Source organism: Homo sapiens, chromosome 8, assembly GCF_000001405.40.
Source record: "Homo sapiens chromosome 8, GRCh38.p14 Primary Assembly".
Classification (NCBI taxonomy): Eukaryota; Metazoa; Chordata; class Mammalia; order Primates; family Hominidae; genus Homo; species Homo sapiens.
The window spans coordinates 74,195,223-74,212,151 of record NC_000008.11 but is presented as its reverse complement, the minus strand read 5'-3'; the positions used below and the strand labels follow the sequence as shown (position 1 = coordinate 74,212,151).

Genomic DNA, 16,929 nt, shown 5'->3' with positions numbered 1-16,929 from the left:
GACCACTTCTATGATCATTTAGAAGGTTAATGAGACAATTCATGAAAACCAAATTGATAAGATGTAATTTTTGCTTATCATATTGGAAAATGCCGTAACGTCCAATAACTCACATTGCTATCTGCAGTGGAAGACAATAGGTACTTTTATATACTGTTGGTGAGAATGCAAATTAATGCGAGCACTTTGGAGGGCTGTTTGATAATATATAGTAAAATTCAAAATGCAGTTGCCCCTTCAATCTAGTGATTCCTCATCTGTAAATTTATCCTAGAAATACATATTCAAATGAGTAAATATATATGTCTAACAATGTTAATTGTAGTGCTGTTTATAATAGCCAAAATATCAGAAATAATTTAAATATCTACCCATAGAGAACATGTTAATTTTAGTATTTTCACACAATAGAATACAATGAATGTATTCAAATAAATGAAGTACATCTACATGCATTACTCTTGAACAATATCCAAGTACATTACATTATAAAAAAGCAAGGTGTTGAATTTGGGTAAAATGAACCTGCTAGTTGTCTACCCAATATTCATCCTTTCCTTCATTTTTACTAAATAAACTCTGATTTTATTTGGCTGCAAAATACCTGTCTAAAAGGTTCTATTTCTCACCTCCGAGCCTCCCTTGCTGCTAGGGCTGGCCAGTGAAATTGAAGTGAAAATTGTTGTGTAGGGCCTTTGAGAAAACTGCTTAAATGAGACTAACACAGCTAGAAGACACAGTATTTTGCCCTTTTTTTTTTCTCTGATAAAGTAGCTTTGAGGATAGAAACATGCTAAACATGATGAAGCAGAATGATCACCAGGGAGTTGCCATTAGTCTGCCTTCCTGCCTTCCTCGGACTTTTACATGACAAAGAACAACAAATTTCTCTCTTGTTTTAGCCACGTATGTGGGGTTTCTGTTACAAGCAGCAAAATCTTGTAACATATGATCTTATAAACATAGATGAATATTTGGTATACACAAGATGTTAGGGCAGACTACTGACAGTGACTTGGTGGTCTGAGCTGGAAGGAAAATGTATTTATTGTATACTCTTTAGTATTGCTGAAAGTTTTACTATGTCTGTAGGGAACCCAGCTTATAGGCTACCTCAGATTCTCTAGCTTCAGCCCTCTCCTTGACCTCTTTCACTTGCCCCACCCATCTGGTCCACTCCAGTGAGATCAATGGTCAAAGTCTCTGGTTCTTCCCACTGCTTCAGATGAAGTGACATCCTGTGGAGTCTGACTTCTACAACAGCTGCCAAGCGGTCAGGGGATGCAACCTGAGGGCACAGGGCCAATAACACCCCATACGGTGAACTTTAACTTATGGAAGGACAGAAAATGGGAAAGAACCAACAAATAAATGTCTTTGTCATTCATCCCTCCATGGACCGCTGCAGGATATGGTGTTTCTGCATATCTTGTCCAGAGCCATTCCAAGGGGCTGACACACTTGTGAACAGCAGTCACCTTGTATGTATATGTGCAGTAACACACCACCTGGTGTTTGCTTCCCATCCTTCCCTGCCACAACACCCCTTCCCTTGCTCCCGCTGCCTTGGCATTGTACCTCCCAAGTAAGCAGTAGCACTTCAGCTTTTCCTCAGGTGGCTTCCCAGACTAAGGCATGTATCTCTTTTTCAATTAAAAACACTAGTTAATTTTTTTTTTAGAAACCTAGTGAGCAGAGCACAAATGAGGGCACTAGACCCCAGCCAGTGGATTGGGAGGTACTCCATTCCATAAACTCTTTTATTTCTGCAGTTAACCAAAACATGAAACATAAGTCCTTTGTTTTTCTAGCACAGCCCAACATCCTTACTTTTCTTAGTATATCTCATTAGGCCTTTTACATAGCCTAACAAGCAGTAAACAATCAAAAATATTTTAAACCACAATACATAAAAGGATATGAATTTGTACCGAATGACTGAAACTCAAAGGGACAGAGCTAAAACCAGGGATGTATGAGAACACCTGCCTGTGGTGTCCTCATCTGACTTTGCCTGAAATTTAGAGACAGTCAAAATCCCATCATCCCGGAATCTGATCTGTCAGACTGTAGGATCAACATCAGAGACTCCAAGGCCACGCAGTGCTTTCTATGTTGACACCAATTCTAAAATTGACTGGCAGCCAGTATAAAAACTGCAGGCCTAGGGAGCCATGTCTTTGGAGCTAAACGACCTAAGTGAGAATCCTCATGATTGCATTTTCCAGAAGCTAGAGTAATGGTCACATTCTTCAGGCAATCTTCTGCTATAATGCAGCTTCAAAGTCATCAGCTTCTGCCTGTACAACAGGGAGCCAACACTGAGAGATGGAAGGATTATCGGCCAAACACATACACAGCATTTACAGTACCGGGTATGGAAGGCCGGACCTCCAGCTCCCATCTCCAACTCTGACTCTGTTCAGTAAACTGAAGCACCCCTGCATCCAGTCTGCAAGTATCAGTGTGACACATTATACCCAGGAACAGAGAGAAATTCATTTGCACAATTCATGTTGTGCCTGTATACCTTGGTGTCACCCTCTCCATGTTCTCTTTGTGACTTAGAATCCTTCTGTGCAAAGTGAGATGGCCTCACACTGTGAACATTCTCACAGCTCTGCCAGGGATAGCTTTTGTGTCTAGGCACCAGTGAAATACTCAATATTCCAAGCATCGTGCTAACCACAGGGGTGCCCGATCTTTTGATGTCCCTGGGCCATAACGGAAGAAGAAGAATTGTCTTGGGCCACACATAAAATACACTAACACTAACGACAACTGATGAGAAAAAAAAAAAAAAAAAACCTCAGAAAAAGCTCCAATGTTTAAGAAAGTTTGCGAATTTGTGTTGGGCCACATTCAAACCCATCCTGGGTCACATGTAGCCCGTGGGCCATGGGTTGGACAAGCTCGCGCTAACAGAAACAGAAACAGAAACAGAAACAGAGCAAGCAGGTTCCAGTGTGCTGCACCACCCCAGAGAAACATCAATGTCAACTCCTGATATGAAGTCAAAATTGCTGCTTTAACAACAAATCAAGAACATGTACACCCTTTTTCATAGCTGCGTTGTTCAATGGCCAAAAGGTAGAAACAATCCGAGTCCATTGATGGATAAATAGATAAACAAGATATGGCATACACCTATAATAAAATATTATTGAACTTTAAAAATGAAAGAAATTCTAATGATGGGTTGATAGGTGCAGCAAATCACCATGGCACATGTATACCTATGTAGCAAACCTGCACATTCTGCACAGGTATCCCAGAACATGAAGTAAAATAAATTTTAAAACAAATGAAATTCTAACATGTGCTGTGCTATAACATGATGAACCTTGAAAACATTATTTCAAGTGAAATAAGTCAAACACAAAAAGGCCAATAGTGAATGAATCCACTTATATGGGGTGCCTAGAATAGGCAAATTCATAGAGAAAGAAAGTAGAAAAGAGTTTACCAAGGGCCAAGGGAAGGAAGAATGGAGAGTTATTATTTAATGAATATGGAGTTTCTATTTGGAATGATGAAAAATTCTGGAAATGGATAGTGGTGATGGTTCAGAGCAATGTAAATGTATTTAATGCCACTGAATTGTACACTTAAAATGGTTAAAATAGTGAATTTTATGTTATGTATATAATGCAATTAATTTTTTTAATCAAGAGAAAAACATTCTGTGAATAGAGGTACCTACTTAAAAATAAGCTATGCCCTCATTAAATATTTATTGTGTGCTAAATTTTGGACCAGAACTTTTAGGGAGTATGGATGCAAAATCTCAGGAGTGGTCAATGCCTAGAATCAGTTAAGTAAATAAGAAGTCAGTATGAGAAGCTCAAATAATAATATTCACATATGTAATAAAGTTTAAAAATAATTTACATTTGGGTTATATTTACTCAGGACTCTCTTATTCTACTTAATTCAAATAATGTGTGGCGCTGAACCAAGCTACATGTTCAGTAAAACGTTAGACACTAGTACGATTGTCTGTTATTGTTATTCTACCAGTGAGGAAACTGAGACACAGGTTAATAACTTGCCCAACAATTACTATGTGGCAATGCCAAACTAGTCATTTGACATTAATATTTGATATTATTCTACTAAATTACAATTACCTCATCAAATTGTTCTCATAACATATAGAAGTATCCATCTTTACCAGGGCACAAAATATTCTTTCTCATTAGTTACTTAGTATACAACTGCTACAACACATGCTAAAATAACAGAGGCTTAAACATAGTAGGGTATATTTCTTTCTTATGTAACAGTCATGTCTATTTCCATAGGGACAGTTCTGTGGTGCTGGGAACACAGGTTCTTTTGATCTTGTCTTCTGTCATTTGTAGCATGCAGCTTCCATTTTGTAGTCGAAGATGGCTGTTACAGCTTCAACCATCACGCCAACATTCCAGCCTACAGAAAGAAAAGAAGACTGAGTAAAAATGCCTTCCCCTGAGGACACAGCCCAAGGGTTGCACGTATCACTCATGTTCACATCACAGAACTTAGCCTCCCAAGCACACATAGGTGTCATGGAGCGTGGCAGTCACATACATACCCAGCTTAAACTGGGGGATATCTGACTAAAGGAAGAAAGGAGGTTGTTATGAGTGGACAGTGGCAGCCTCTGCAATACTCACCCTTTACATCTGGACAAAGTTAGTCAAGGTCCCTGGTTCCCAATCGCTGGGCCAGGTCACTCTGGCTGGCTTCTCCTCCTTACCCCATGCCAGCAATCCAGTCTGCATGGAGCTTCTTTGCTGTGCTATCAGTCACTGACAAACGAATGCAGGTGTTAGGAAAGCAATCTGACAGGAAGATCTAAGGTAGAAGATTGGAGGTTTGCATGGGAGGAAATGAGATATTCCCTTAAATCAACTCAGTTTTTTCCATGGGTAACATAAATCAAAGGAGTGAGAGGACTAGGAAACTATATGACCTGCAGCAACTAGAACACACAAGTCAAAGGCAGTCCTGCCCACAAGGGCCTCAAGAAAACAGCATTTAAAGGTCATCAAAAAGCCAAATACTTGAGGAATGTCTCTAGATACCCTGGCTTGTTAAGAGGGCTGTGTCCTCTTCATTTTTATATCCCCAGCAGCTAGGATAGCACAAGACCTAGCACAAAATAAAAATGAACATTTGTTTGGCACTTTACAAATTGTTTTCATGACATTATCTAGTCTTTACCAAAGCCCTCCAAAATAGTTACTATTGTTGTCCCCATTTTCTAGATGATGAAACTACACATCAGTGGGCGCAGTGAACCACTGCCAAGAATACACGATCAGGTAAGGCCAGAGCTGGGACTCAAATCATTTAAGGGAAAAGTTGAATGTGAAGAATTTTCTATCTTAGCCAAGACATTTATTCTAAAACTAACAGCACTCAGCTTAACTTTTAAAATCTAATACTTATCGTACTTACATAAACTACTATTTATTCTTGAAAACTGTAGAATATAATAGCTATTGTGCACATCATTGGACATGCATCTGGTTAGCCTCTAACACTAAATTCTGTGCATTTTTGCCCAGCGCCTTATCTGGGGCTCTCCCTCCCAGCGATGCTACTGCCTCACTGCCCCAGCATGGATGAACACGTGGAGACAGGGATTTAAAGCAGGTTGGCAGTAGGAGTGCCATAGCCAATCCAGATGGGATTCCCCCATTTCTTTTCTGACTCCCCTCAAATCCACCTTGCACTCCCTGTCAGTCGCAGGCACTGGAGTGAAGTGAGAAGCAGATGTGATGATGGAGCAAATAGCACTAAACGTGAGTTCAGGTCTAATGGGTCTAATCCTGACTCTGACACTGACTTGCTAAGTGGCCGTGGGAAGGTAACTCAGTGTCTCTAGTGTCAGTTTCCTCATCTATAAATCAAGGAGGACAGCAGCTCCACTGATAATTCAATGAGAAAATGGAATCTCATGAGATACCACAAAGGTGCCCAGCACATAGTAGACCCACAGTAAATGTTTTCCTGGAATTCGGCAAATGGAGAATATTTATTCCAACACTTTTGTTTTATAAATGAAGACACTCGGGCTCAGAGACGCATGGTATAGTTTTTAATGTGACCCAGCTGGTTAATATAGAGCCAAGAATGGAGCCTTTTTACTCCTGGCCTAGTGCTCTGTTTCATGTATCAAGCTGCCCTGATGTGTGGAAGGAGAGGCTATGGAAATCCAGAGGAGTATGCATGTTGCAGGAGCAGATTTAGATAGCTGCAAATCTCAGGATTGGATTTGTACATGAATACACACATGCACGCACACACACATACACACACACTCTGGAATTCTCCTTGAAGGATGAGACCTTGTCGTCTCATTGTCTCCTATATTCCCAGTGCCTAGAACACAGCTTGGCAAATAGTAGACCCCAGACAATATTTTTGACTGACTAATTAAAACACACACAAAGCTGGGTGCGGTGGCTCATGCCTGTAATCCCAGCACTTTGGGAGGCCGAGGCGGGAAGATCACCTGAGGTCGGGAGTTCGAAGAGTAGCCTGACCAATGTAGAGAAACCCCCTCTCAACTAAAAATACAAAAAATTAGCCAGGCATGATGGTGCATGCCTGTAATCCCAGCTACTCAGGAAGGCTGAGGCAGGAGAATCGCTTGAACCCGGGAGGTGGAGGTTGTGGTGAGCTGAGATGGCGCCATTGCGCTCCAGCCTGGGCAACAAGAGCGAAACTCCATCTCAGAAAAACAAAACAAAACAAAACAAAAAACAAAAACAAAACAAACAAAAAAAACACACATGCACATATTTTGTCAAGGCAGAGCACAATTGGAACTCCACTGCTTAATCCAATAGAGTCATTCCTAGAATGTAAGCCAGACTACTTGTGCCCCAGAACCTTCTATCACTCATTAGAACACTCTCTCTACCCAATGCCCAGTATCCTAAACATTCTAAAAGCATTTATGTTCCAAACAGCTTCTCGACCATCAACACTTAGCCTTCTCTCGTCTCATTGCTTCTGGGCTTTGACCCTTCAACAATCTGTATGAAAACAGGTGGGATTTGGCTGATTTAATGAGCCAATAGATAGATTAGCAAGAATGAATACAAAATCCTCAGCACTCTAAATAGTATAAAGCAGGGTAGTGGGATACAGCAAAAGGTCAATGGAAAGTTAGCCACAAAAATCTCCAGGAGAAGAAAAATGACTGTAATTCACCACTGTTTCCCCTGACACCCAGAAAGGGACATTGAAAGAACATGAAAGAATCTTATCTAAAGGATATATGCTGTTTCTTTTTCCTTGAGGTCCTTAGGAATTATGAGTTGTTACAAAGGCAGGCTGAGCCCCATTCTTGAGAACAAGCATTTGATAAATGTCTCTAGACACCCTGGCTTGTTAACAACCAGGATATAGGATTCCTAGACAGGATGGAAAATGTAATTCAAGGAAGCCAGAAAGGAAAAGATTCTGTAAGACAGAAGAGAATTGAAAACATCCAAAAGCTGATAAGTAGAAAAGGAGATATGGACATAAAAGAGACTGTTATCGTCTATAAGAGAAAGTAGGCTTCAATCATTTATCTGTTGATCTATTTATTCACTCAACTAGTCCTTTCTGAACGCCAACTATCTACAAGCCCTGTGCTTGGCACTGTGGAAACCGTACAAGCGAAGACATTGACTGGCTCAATGACTGTGGGAAAATAACTCGACAAGACTCAGGTTCTGGCCACAAGGAGATTATGCTCCAATGGAAAGGTCAGGTTTCAATCAAATAACCATGCGCATAAATGTAAAAATCTTACTTGGGCAAGTTCCATGAAGGAGAGGCTGTGATTATAGCACACACTGCTGGTGCCCCACTCAGACCTCTGGGATGCCCTTCGCTTGTTTAGTGAGCAAGCCCATGCCTGGCTGCTGCAGCTGCTGCCAGTCTTTACCTAATGGCTGATGCCTGCAGCCTTTCCAGAGCATTGCCCATGACATTTCCTGCAGGAAGTGCTTGGAAATTCACCCACCCATGGCAGCGCACGGCCAACCACTGACTGGGGTGGGAATGCAAGAGCCCCCCACATTTGCCTCAAGGCAGGACAGATTCAGTTTACCCTCCTGCGCTCCTTTCCAAATCAGGCTGAACCAAACTCACCTGAAACCTCATTCTTGTGTGGCTCTTTCTCCTTCCCTATCTTGGTTCCTTTACTACCTTTCAGTTTTTTTGGCGGGGAGCACTCCCTCAATAAATCATGAGAACACACAACCCCTGCCCCAGGTTCTGCTTTTAGAGAACATGATCTAAGACAATGATATTCTGAAAGTATATAATTAAGAGATTTGACCAAGTCAGGGAGGCCAGGGAAAGCTTTCTGAGGAAATGACTATGTTGAAGTGAAAGGCCAAGTCAAAATTAACAAAATGGGTTGGAAGGGAGGAGCTAGCCTTCCAGGCAGAGGAAATAGCATGAGCAGAGGTCTTGTGGCATCAGAGAACACAGCTTTCTCGATTGCCTGAGAGGGACCTGATTCATTTAGCCTCTGGAGGGTAGAAATGGAAGTTCCAGGAGGAGAGATTACAGTTCAATAATTTGACCACCATAGCGAGCTGTAACAAAGGAATGGTTGCCTTGAGAAAGACAAGTTCTTGTAAATGAGAATGCTGGTACCTGTCAGGGAGATTACATGTGGCATTGGGTGGGATGTTGAAATAGAAGCTCCTTAACGTTTTTGGTTTTAAAGTTCAGTGATAGAATGTTAGACCTGGTGGGTAAGGCTTTAGTAAATAAAGCTATATCTTCAAATTCTGAGCTGGACAGTGGGCAGAGTCAGCCCCAGATGGAATTGAGGGGTGAAAAGGGTTATTTCCATGTGTCCCAAGTCCTGTTTTCCCCAGGAGTGCCACAGAGCCCTTGGACTGACCTTCCCCACAAGGCCTGCTTTCCCACTGACAAACTGGGCATGACAGCTCACAAATGTCTGGTCTCACCCAATTGTACATCACAAGCGAAGGTAGCCATTGGATGTGTGGATTTTGGAGTTAAACTGCCTGATTTCAAATCCTGTTTCCCTATTTCCCGCTTATATGACCTCAGGTTAATTCTTTTTCTGCCCCAAGTTTTATTTTTCTCATCTGTAAAATGCTAATAATAGTACCTACTCTATAGGTTTTATTAACAATAAATTAAATAATAAACACCACTTTGTGTGCCAGGCACACCATAAATGCTCATTAAATATTAGCTGCTGTAGTTTAAACTAAGGAACTAATTGCTAATAAGTCTCAATGCTGCTCTTTCTAGAAAAGCGTAGTGTTTAATAGCATGAATTTGGAGCCAGTCTGCCTGGATTCAAATCTCGCCTCTACTACTTCCTTGTGTGACCTGCTTTGGAAAAGTTCCTTCATAGCATTTCCATTTCCTCATGTGTAAAATGGGGATAATGATAATACCTGCCTCAGGCTGTTGTGGGAATTAAATGACTTAATAGCTGTAAAGCACTTAGAGACTATCATAAAGGAAATATCAGTAGGTACTAAGTATCATTAGTATTTGTAGAATTATTCCTATTTTTAATGGTCATTCATTGATAGTTTGAAACAATGAATCTGCATTAGTGAAAGGTCAGGCAGTACAGGCCTCTGGGGAAGTTATTTCTAAGTGGGAGGGCTTTTTGTGCCTACCAAATAGAACCATGTGTGTGAGCGATAGCTCTGCCTGTCTGCTCACAACCCAAACCACACCTGCGGTTCTGCATCTGAACCTTTGGGAGGTCCCCTGACCACCATGGTATAGAGATGGGAGAACAGGGACCTGTCACTCATGCAGTTATTGGGAGGGGGCTGCACAAGTGGGGACCAGGCTGGGCTTCCTCCCATACCCTTGGTCCCTGTGTCCCTGAGGCACTCTGGTAGTCAGTCATTGTGGGAAGGGCCACATCTCCTTGTGACAACCCTTTCCTCCAGACCCTGATGATACCAAACCCCTTCTGTAACTTCTACTATAGCCACAAACCATTTCTTATTCATCTTTGCCTTCCCAGAGCTTGACAGTGGACCTGACTCATACCAGTTGCTCACTAAGTCTTATCGAATGAACTGGTCTATCTACAGATGGCCTCCATCCCTGGCTGTGGTCTCCTGACCAGGACTTTTTGTAGTCATGATGCCAGCTAGCTTCTGGGGCTCTGCATTTGAAATATTCTTCAAGGATTTCCTGGATTTCTAAATCACAGCAGTGACATCTTTATCCATGATTGTCAGTGGTCTCAGAGGAACACTTCAGCAGAACATTCCAGGGCACCACCCTGGATAGAGCTGAGAGATCCAGCAAGGTGGACATCACCCCAGTCTTCATAGCTTCACCCCAGGGGATTCCATTTCAGCTCATCTAGGTTTCAGAAGAGAGGTTCTTAGACCACTTCTCTAAGACAGTCTTCTAGTATGTTCTGAATGCTCTGAGTTATTTGAAGACTGCATTATTTCCTCACAACTTCACCCAAAGTTCTTGATATGGCCTCTCCTGATCCAAAATATCATGACCAGAGTGCTATGTGATATTTGTCCCTCTTTATTTCAAGATGCATAAAGTGTAGAAATATGGGGTATAACACCCTGAAAATATTGCCTTGCATTTGATGCTTTCACATACTTTAAGTTAATCCCCACAAACATTTAGAAGAATATTCCTTCCATTTTATAAAGAGGAAGTCGAAGCTCAAGAAGGCTAAGTGACTTGTGCAAGGTCCTTCAGCTGTTTGATGACAGGGCTGGGACATGCCTTTGGGGCTGTTAGTTTCTATTCTCACTAGAAGTCATCATGGTATATCAGAGTGGGAAGGGAGCCTACAGATGAACTAGTCCAATGTACTCCTTCAGATTTGATGGAGGAGGAAAACTGAACTCTTTCTAAAAAGAAAAAAAAAGAAGCTGAAGGCAAGTCTCCAATGAATTCACATGCAATATATGATGGGGAACAATGGTGGAAGGAGGCAAAGCTGAATTTATCAACAGCTTCAATGCCCTACAGGGTGATCTAGGCCATTATCAGTTTGTTCTACTAAAACAAACACTAACCCCACTCTTCATTCAGCCAACCATTATCTATTGAGGGCCAGATGTGCTAAATGCTGGGGAATCAGAGGTGAGTGGCTCCGTGACATTCCACCCTGTGGGACTGCACATGAAACAGGAAAATCAGTAGGTTACAGTGGAGTGAGGTAAGTCATATAATGGGAATACAAGGGATGGGGAAGGACTTCCAAGGCAGGCACTTGCCCCAGCTTAGAAAGTGCAGCAAAGATTCAAAGAGGAGGTGATGCAACTGAGTACTGCAAGGCTTAAGCAGAGATTGCCAAATAGACAAGGGGAAGAGGAGGGTGTTCCACGCAACAGGAACAGCTTGGGCAAAGTTGGGGGGCTTGTAATAGCTCAGCATGTTGGGGGAACTGCAAGTGTAGCTGGGAATGGGGTCAGTTCATGAAAAGTCTTGTTTGTTAGGCTAAAGAGTTTTAACTCAATCCCAAAGATAACAGACAACCATTGAATTATCTTGTTTTTTAAGTGGAAGTGATATAATCATAGGAAGGTTATTTAAGAGAGAACACATTGAATGGGGAGCATAGTTAAAAACAACGGCAGTCACATAGGTGAGAAAAGATTAGAGATTGAATTAAGGAAGCAGCAAATAAGGTGAAAATGTTTAAAGTATATTTGGCAATTAGAAATTATTGGGCTTTGTGATATGAAACACAGGAGAGAGAACAGTAAAAACTGACTCAAATTTCCAATGAGCAACTGGGAAGATGGGACCATGCTCTAGGACAGAGGAGAGGTTGGAGGGAAGTGAATGAGTAGAGTCGGGACACACTGAAGTGGAGAAGCCCATGGGACATGTGCATGGAGATGTCAGCACTAGGAAGTATGAGCTGGAAGCCCAGGAGAGAGGCCTGGGATGGGCCTGCGGTCTTTGGAATCATTGATAGATGCTAATTGGAGTCACAGGTGTGGACGAGCTAACCCAGGGAGCACACATTAGCAGAAAAAGAGCAAGGCTGAGGACAGATTTGGGGAAACATAATAGTTCAGAAGGTGGGGAGAAGGAAAAAAGAAAAGTGTGCAAGGGACACAAAGAAGTGACGAGAGAGGTAACATAATAGAGAAGAAAGTGGAGTCACAATAAAGTGGAATAGAAAAGGGAAGAAAGCAACGGAGCTAACATTTATTGAACTCTGATTATGTACTCAGTCTTGTACCCGGAGTTTTACACATGTCCCTTACTTCATGTTCCTGGGAAAATCTCATGAATGAGATATTAATATTCTGATGTAACTAACATGGAAATGGTAACCAAGAAAGGTGAAATAACATGCCCAGAATCACATAGCTACTAAGGGGTGAAACAGAATTCAAGGCCAGACCTTTCTGGCTCCAAAGCCCACAATACTGTTTCCATAGCATAAATTGCTTCAGAAAGGTGAAGTCGAATAGGAACTAAAAAGAACTGTAAGAGTGTAAGAGGACATGGTCCTGCCAAGGGTGAAGCTTCATTGCCATGAATTACAAAATGAATAAAAGGTAAACAAGCAGAGACAGTGAAGGTTAGAGGAAGAGGACTTTTTTAGGAAAATTGCCCTTACCCACTCAGCAAACATTCCGAAATACCTTTGACTGTACTCATCAGGTGCCACGTACTGTTCCAGGCATTGGAAATACCACGTCGCTGCTCTCAAGGAGCTTGCATTTGGGTGATGGGAGACGTACACTCAGCATGTCACATCAAACACACAACATAAGTCAGTTGGTGGGAAGTGCTAAGAAAAGAAACAAAGCCAGGAAAGGGGTAGAGACTCAGCTGGGGAGGAAGGGGAGGCAGGAAGGTAGTATTTTAAATAGAGTGGTCTCTGATAAGGCAACAGTTGAGCAGATACTTGCAAGAAGCCCTTGAATGGGCAAGGCATGAAAACAACCCCAGGCAGAGGGAAAAGCAGGCACAAATGCCTACAGGCAGGATTCCACCTGTGTGTTCTAGGATCAGCCCAGGGACCAGCAGGGCTGGCATGAATTAAGCAAAGAGAAGAGGGATCAGCAGGGAATACAGTGTGTTGGACCTCAGAGAAGTCAGCAGGAGACACAGTGTGTAGACAAGAAATCTGGGTTTTGTTGTCAAGAATCCTCTGGAGGCAAGAGGTGCTGTCCTCCATTATTCATCCCAAAGAAAGAGATGACTGGGTCAGGGATCTCCAGCAAATGCGCCCATCCTCACCTCCCTTCTGGCTGGAGCAGTCCAGAGGGGGCCTGGAATGGCAGCATAGCAGTGGTTAACAGAACAGCTGGTGAGCCAGGGTCAAGCTCACAACAGGACACTAAGTGGCCTCCCCAGCCACTGTCTCAGCCATCATGCCCCTCCCTGGCCTTGGTTGGGTGTGACATTCATCATAACCACCAGGTGGAGAATAACCTTGAATATTCCTACTTGCAAGTCTGTATCTGCCCAACCCATCACCAAGACCACCCACCTCCAAGTACATCTACTTAATTAGACAACAGGAACCACAAAAGGAATGGAACTCCTCAATAGCCAGAAACTTGAACAACCTCAGAGAGATGCTATGTGCCAATGTGGCTTCAGGGAATTAAAGGCTGGTCCTCTGCTCAGAGAAGGTTTACTGGGTGTATGAGTATCAGCCCTGCCCAGTCCCATCTGCTCCTAATGCGAAGAGTTAATTATAGACATGGACTCCACGGTACAGGGATTCCCAAGGGCATCCTGCCCCGGGCCTCTGCAGCTGACCACATTCAGCCTTCTCCACATCCCAGGAAGATTCCATGTGAGAGCAACAACAGACACAGGTGGCCTCAGCCCGAAGGGCGTATTAACCCTATAAAAAAGTTTTAGCTTTTGTTTAGTTTTTGTTTTTGTTTTTGTGACAGGGTCTTGCTCTGTTGCCTAGGCTGGAGTACAGTGGCTCAATCACAGCTTACTGCAGCCTTGACTTCCTGGGCTCAAGTGATCCTCCCACCTCAGCCTCCTGAGTAGCTGGGAATACAGGTGCACACCACCATGCCGGGCTAACCTAGAAGAAAGTTTCGGAGCCGGTCATCCAGCAAAGGACCATTTATCATGACTTTGCTGTCACCTTGATATTCTTTCTTCTAAGCCTATTGGTAGTATGGGAATATCAATTGATGTCATTAATAGTGGATGCAGCCTCCCTTCCATTTCCTTAAGGGTGGTAGAGGCACAGCTGAACAGGAAGCTCCTCCCTCTGGGGGATTTTCATAGCAACCGGCTCATGGGGAAGGGCTTTGGCACACAATGAAAAACTACCATCCACGAGGAGCAGCAGAAGCCCTTGTAACTGTGTGAGTGTGATTAGCAGACATTGCCATGCACCTCTTCCCTCCCTAATTACGTCTTAAGCTGAGCATCTGATTTTTTTCACCCCAGTCTAAGGGTTTCACCCGAATCAGAAGGAACTATTTCAGAGACTGTGTTTCTTTGCTTGGTTTTCTACCACCTAGGGTACTATTTTGCCTTATCTAATGTGCAATTCTGGAGCACGTCCTCAAAGCACAGGTCCATGTAGGTAACATGATCTGCAGCAGGGCTATTTAATAATTTAGGCCATCAGCTATCTTGTCTTGTCAAAAATCTTCAAATGATTTTAGTTTTAAATAGAAATTTTAAAATATAACCATTATGTATGATAAATATTTTAAATTTTCATTTTCTTCATTCTGCTAAGTTTGAATTAATTCCATCTTAGCCAAATAGCTATTATAGTATGCTCCCAGAGCACTACAACATTGGTGACTCTGGTCTGCTTACTTGTTGGTATCTCTTATTAAACTATTTAGACCCCATAAAGCACATAATATAAATGAATGAATGGATGGATGGATGGACAGATGCATACTTCACATTGAAGATATCATATTAGCAAAATATAGTATCTAACATTATGGGTCTAATATTATCCTAAGACCTACAGATGTCCTGTGTTTGATGGGGGAATGTTTTAAAAAAGAATGCAGTTAGCCCAGCAATAGTGTCTGTCAATCATTCTAGGAATGGAAAAGTGTTAAAGGAGCGGAAAGCCCTAAAATGTTCTCAGCCTTAAAACTGAGGGGAAATGGATTCTGACCCAACAATTAGAAAAGTCAGGGAGCAGATGAAAAACTCACATTTTCTCATGAAACAGAAACAGGACTGTCTGTAATATCTTTATAAAAATCAATGCAGTATCACTTATTACACAAGCAGATACTCACTTTTTTTTTGCATCTTTATTCTTTTTATAATTATTAAGGCAACAAAGTGTGCAAAATTAAAACATACAGAAATAGATTATTAAAATATAAACATCTCCAGGTATCAAGAAGTAACCATGGTTATCTTTTAATTACTGTATGTCCAATTCATATTTCCTATGCAGTTTTAGTAAGGGAGCTCTAAAAGAAATTGAACTCTTTCTGGATGTCCATGTCCATTCACTCGTTTAAATTTTATTTTCTAATTGAATATTGACCATCTATAATTGTATATATTTATGGGGTACAAGGTGATGTTATGATTTATGAATACAACTAAATCAAGATAGTTAACATATTCATCACTTCAAATACTTAAAACATTTTTTGGTGAGAACATTCGAAATGTAATCTTTTAGCAATTTTGAAATGTGCAATACTCTATTATTAACTGTATTCACCATGCTGTGCCCCATCCATTCCTTTTAAATATTTTTTTATATGTTTAGGGGGTATAAGTGCATTTTTGTTACCTGGATATATGGTGTAGTTGAAGTCTGGGCGTTTGGGGTAACCATTACCTGAATTAATTGTACCTCATAAGTACCCATTCATTCTTTAAACAAGAGTGTTAGCTCGGCCAGTTGTGATGGCTCACGCCTATAATCCCAACACTTTGGGAGGCCAAGGTGGGAGTACTGCCTGAGCCCAGCAGTTCAAGATCAGCAAGGGCAACATAGGGAGACCACATCTCTACAAAAAATAAAAAAAAATTTTAAATAGTTGGGCATGGTGACACATGCCTGTAGTCCCATCTGCTCAGGAGGCTGAGGTGGGAGGATCATTTGAGCCTGGGAGGTGGAGGCTGCAGTAAGCCATGACCATGCCACTGCACTCCAGCCTAAACAATAGATCAAGACCCTGTCTCAAAAAAAAAAAAAAAATGGCATCAGCTCCATGAGGGGAGGAATCAGGGCGTGTCATGTTCACTGCAGTATCCCTAGCACATAACAGGTGATCTATGAATACTTATCACCTATATGCAGAAATATTGCTATCCAGGGTGTACCACACTCTATCCTCAGTAAGATCCAGCAGTGGAAACTCTGGGTAAGGTCCGCTTTCATGGAACTAGAGGATAGACATGATTACCCCACCCTCCCCTGTTTGTGAGAAGCCCTGAGACCCATGCTCTGGACTCTGTTCCTCTCTTCCCCCCCTTACCTGTCCTCCATCCCTCCAGGAAGATCACCTGGATGTACTCCAACCATACTCCAACCTGGGTTGGGCCCCCATCTCTTGTAGTCTTGCACTTATTGGAATTTATCCCCATCAAAGCACCTGTCACACTAAAATGTCATTTATTTTCCTCTCTCTACTCTAACAGACTATAAACTCACTGAGACAGGAACTATAGCTTTTTCTTATGTTTCTGTTTTATCTTTGTATTTGTAGCCCAATCCGTTATTCATAGATGTTTAATCAAGGAGTGAAAGACTAAGTCAATGAATACGTAGTCACACACAGGAATGGGATCATTCCACCGAAAGGGATTTAACCAGAATGTGTGGCTCTCATGGTGGGAATTTCAGGAATGGGGCAAGTGAGAATCTCTGGGCTCCTCATATCCCGGGAAGGCAGCTGCTCCTTTGGCTATGCCGGGGTGAGCCCTAAAAATACTGGTTCTCCTTTCTAC

The 16,929-nt window shown here is 42.0% G+C and overlaps 1 long non-coding RNA gene across 3 annotated transcripts, besides 1 other annotated feature; it reads right to left on the bottom strand.

The window, feature by feature from the left end:
* Nucleotides 2,917–3,026: an enhancer, noted in NCBI's record as "active region_27541". NCBI's record gives its function as "activates an Ori minimal core promoter by ATAC-STARR-seq in GM12878 lymphoblastoid cells {active_cell/tissue: GM12878}" and the evidence as "EXISTENCE:reporter gene assay evidence [ECO:0000049][PMID:35858748]".
* LOC105375903 (uncharacterized) lies at nt 3,871–12,770 on the bottom strand. Of its 3 annotated transcripts, XR_001745956.1 has the most exons (3): nt 12,620–12,770; nt 4,659–4,793; nt 3,871–4,431 (listed from the first exon to the last, which is right to left on the bottom strand). It is a non-coding gene; the product is annotated as an uncharacterized LOC105375903 (long non-coding RNA). The 3 variants fall into 3 exon arrangements; XR_929052.2 differs by lacking the exon at nt 4,659–4,793; XR_929053.2 differs by lacking the exon at nt 4,659–4,793 and having other exon boundaries at nt 12,645–12,770.
* Nucleotides 12,771–16,929: the final 4,159 nt, after the last annotated feature.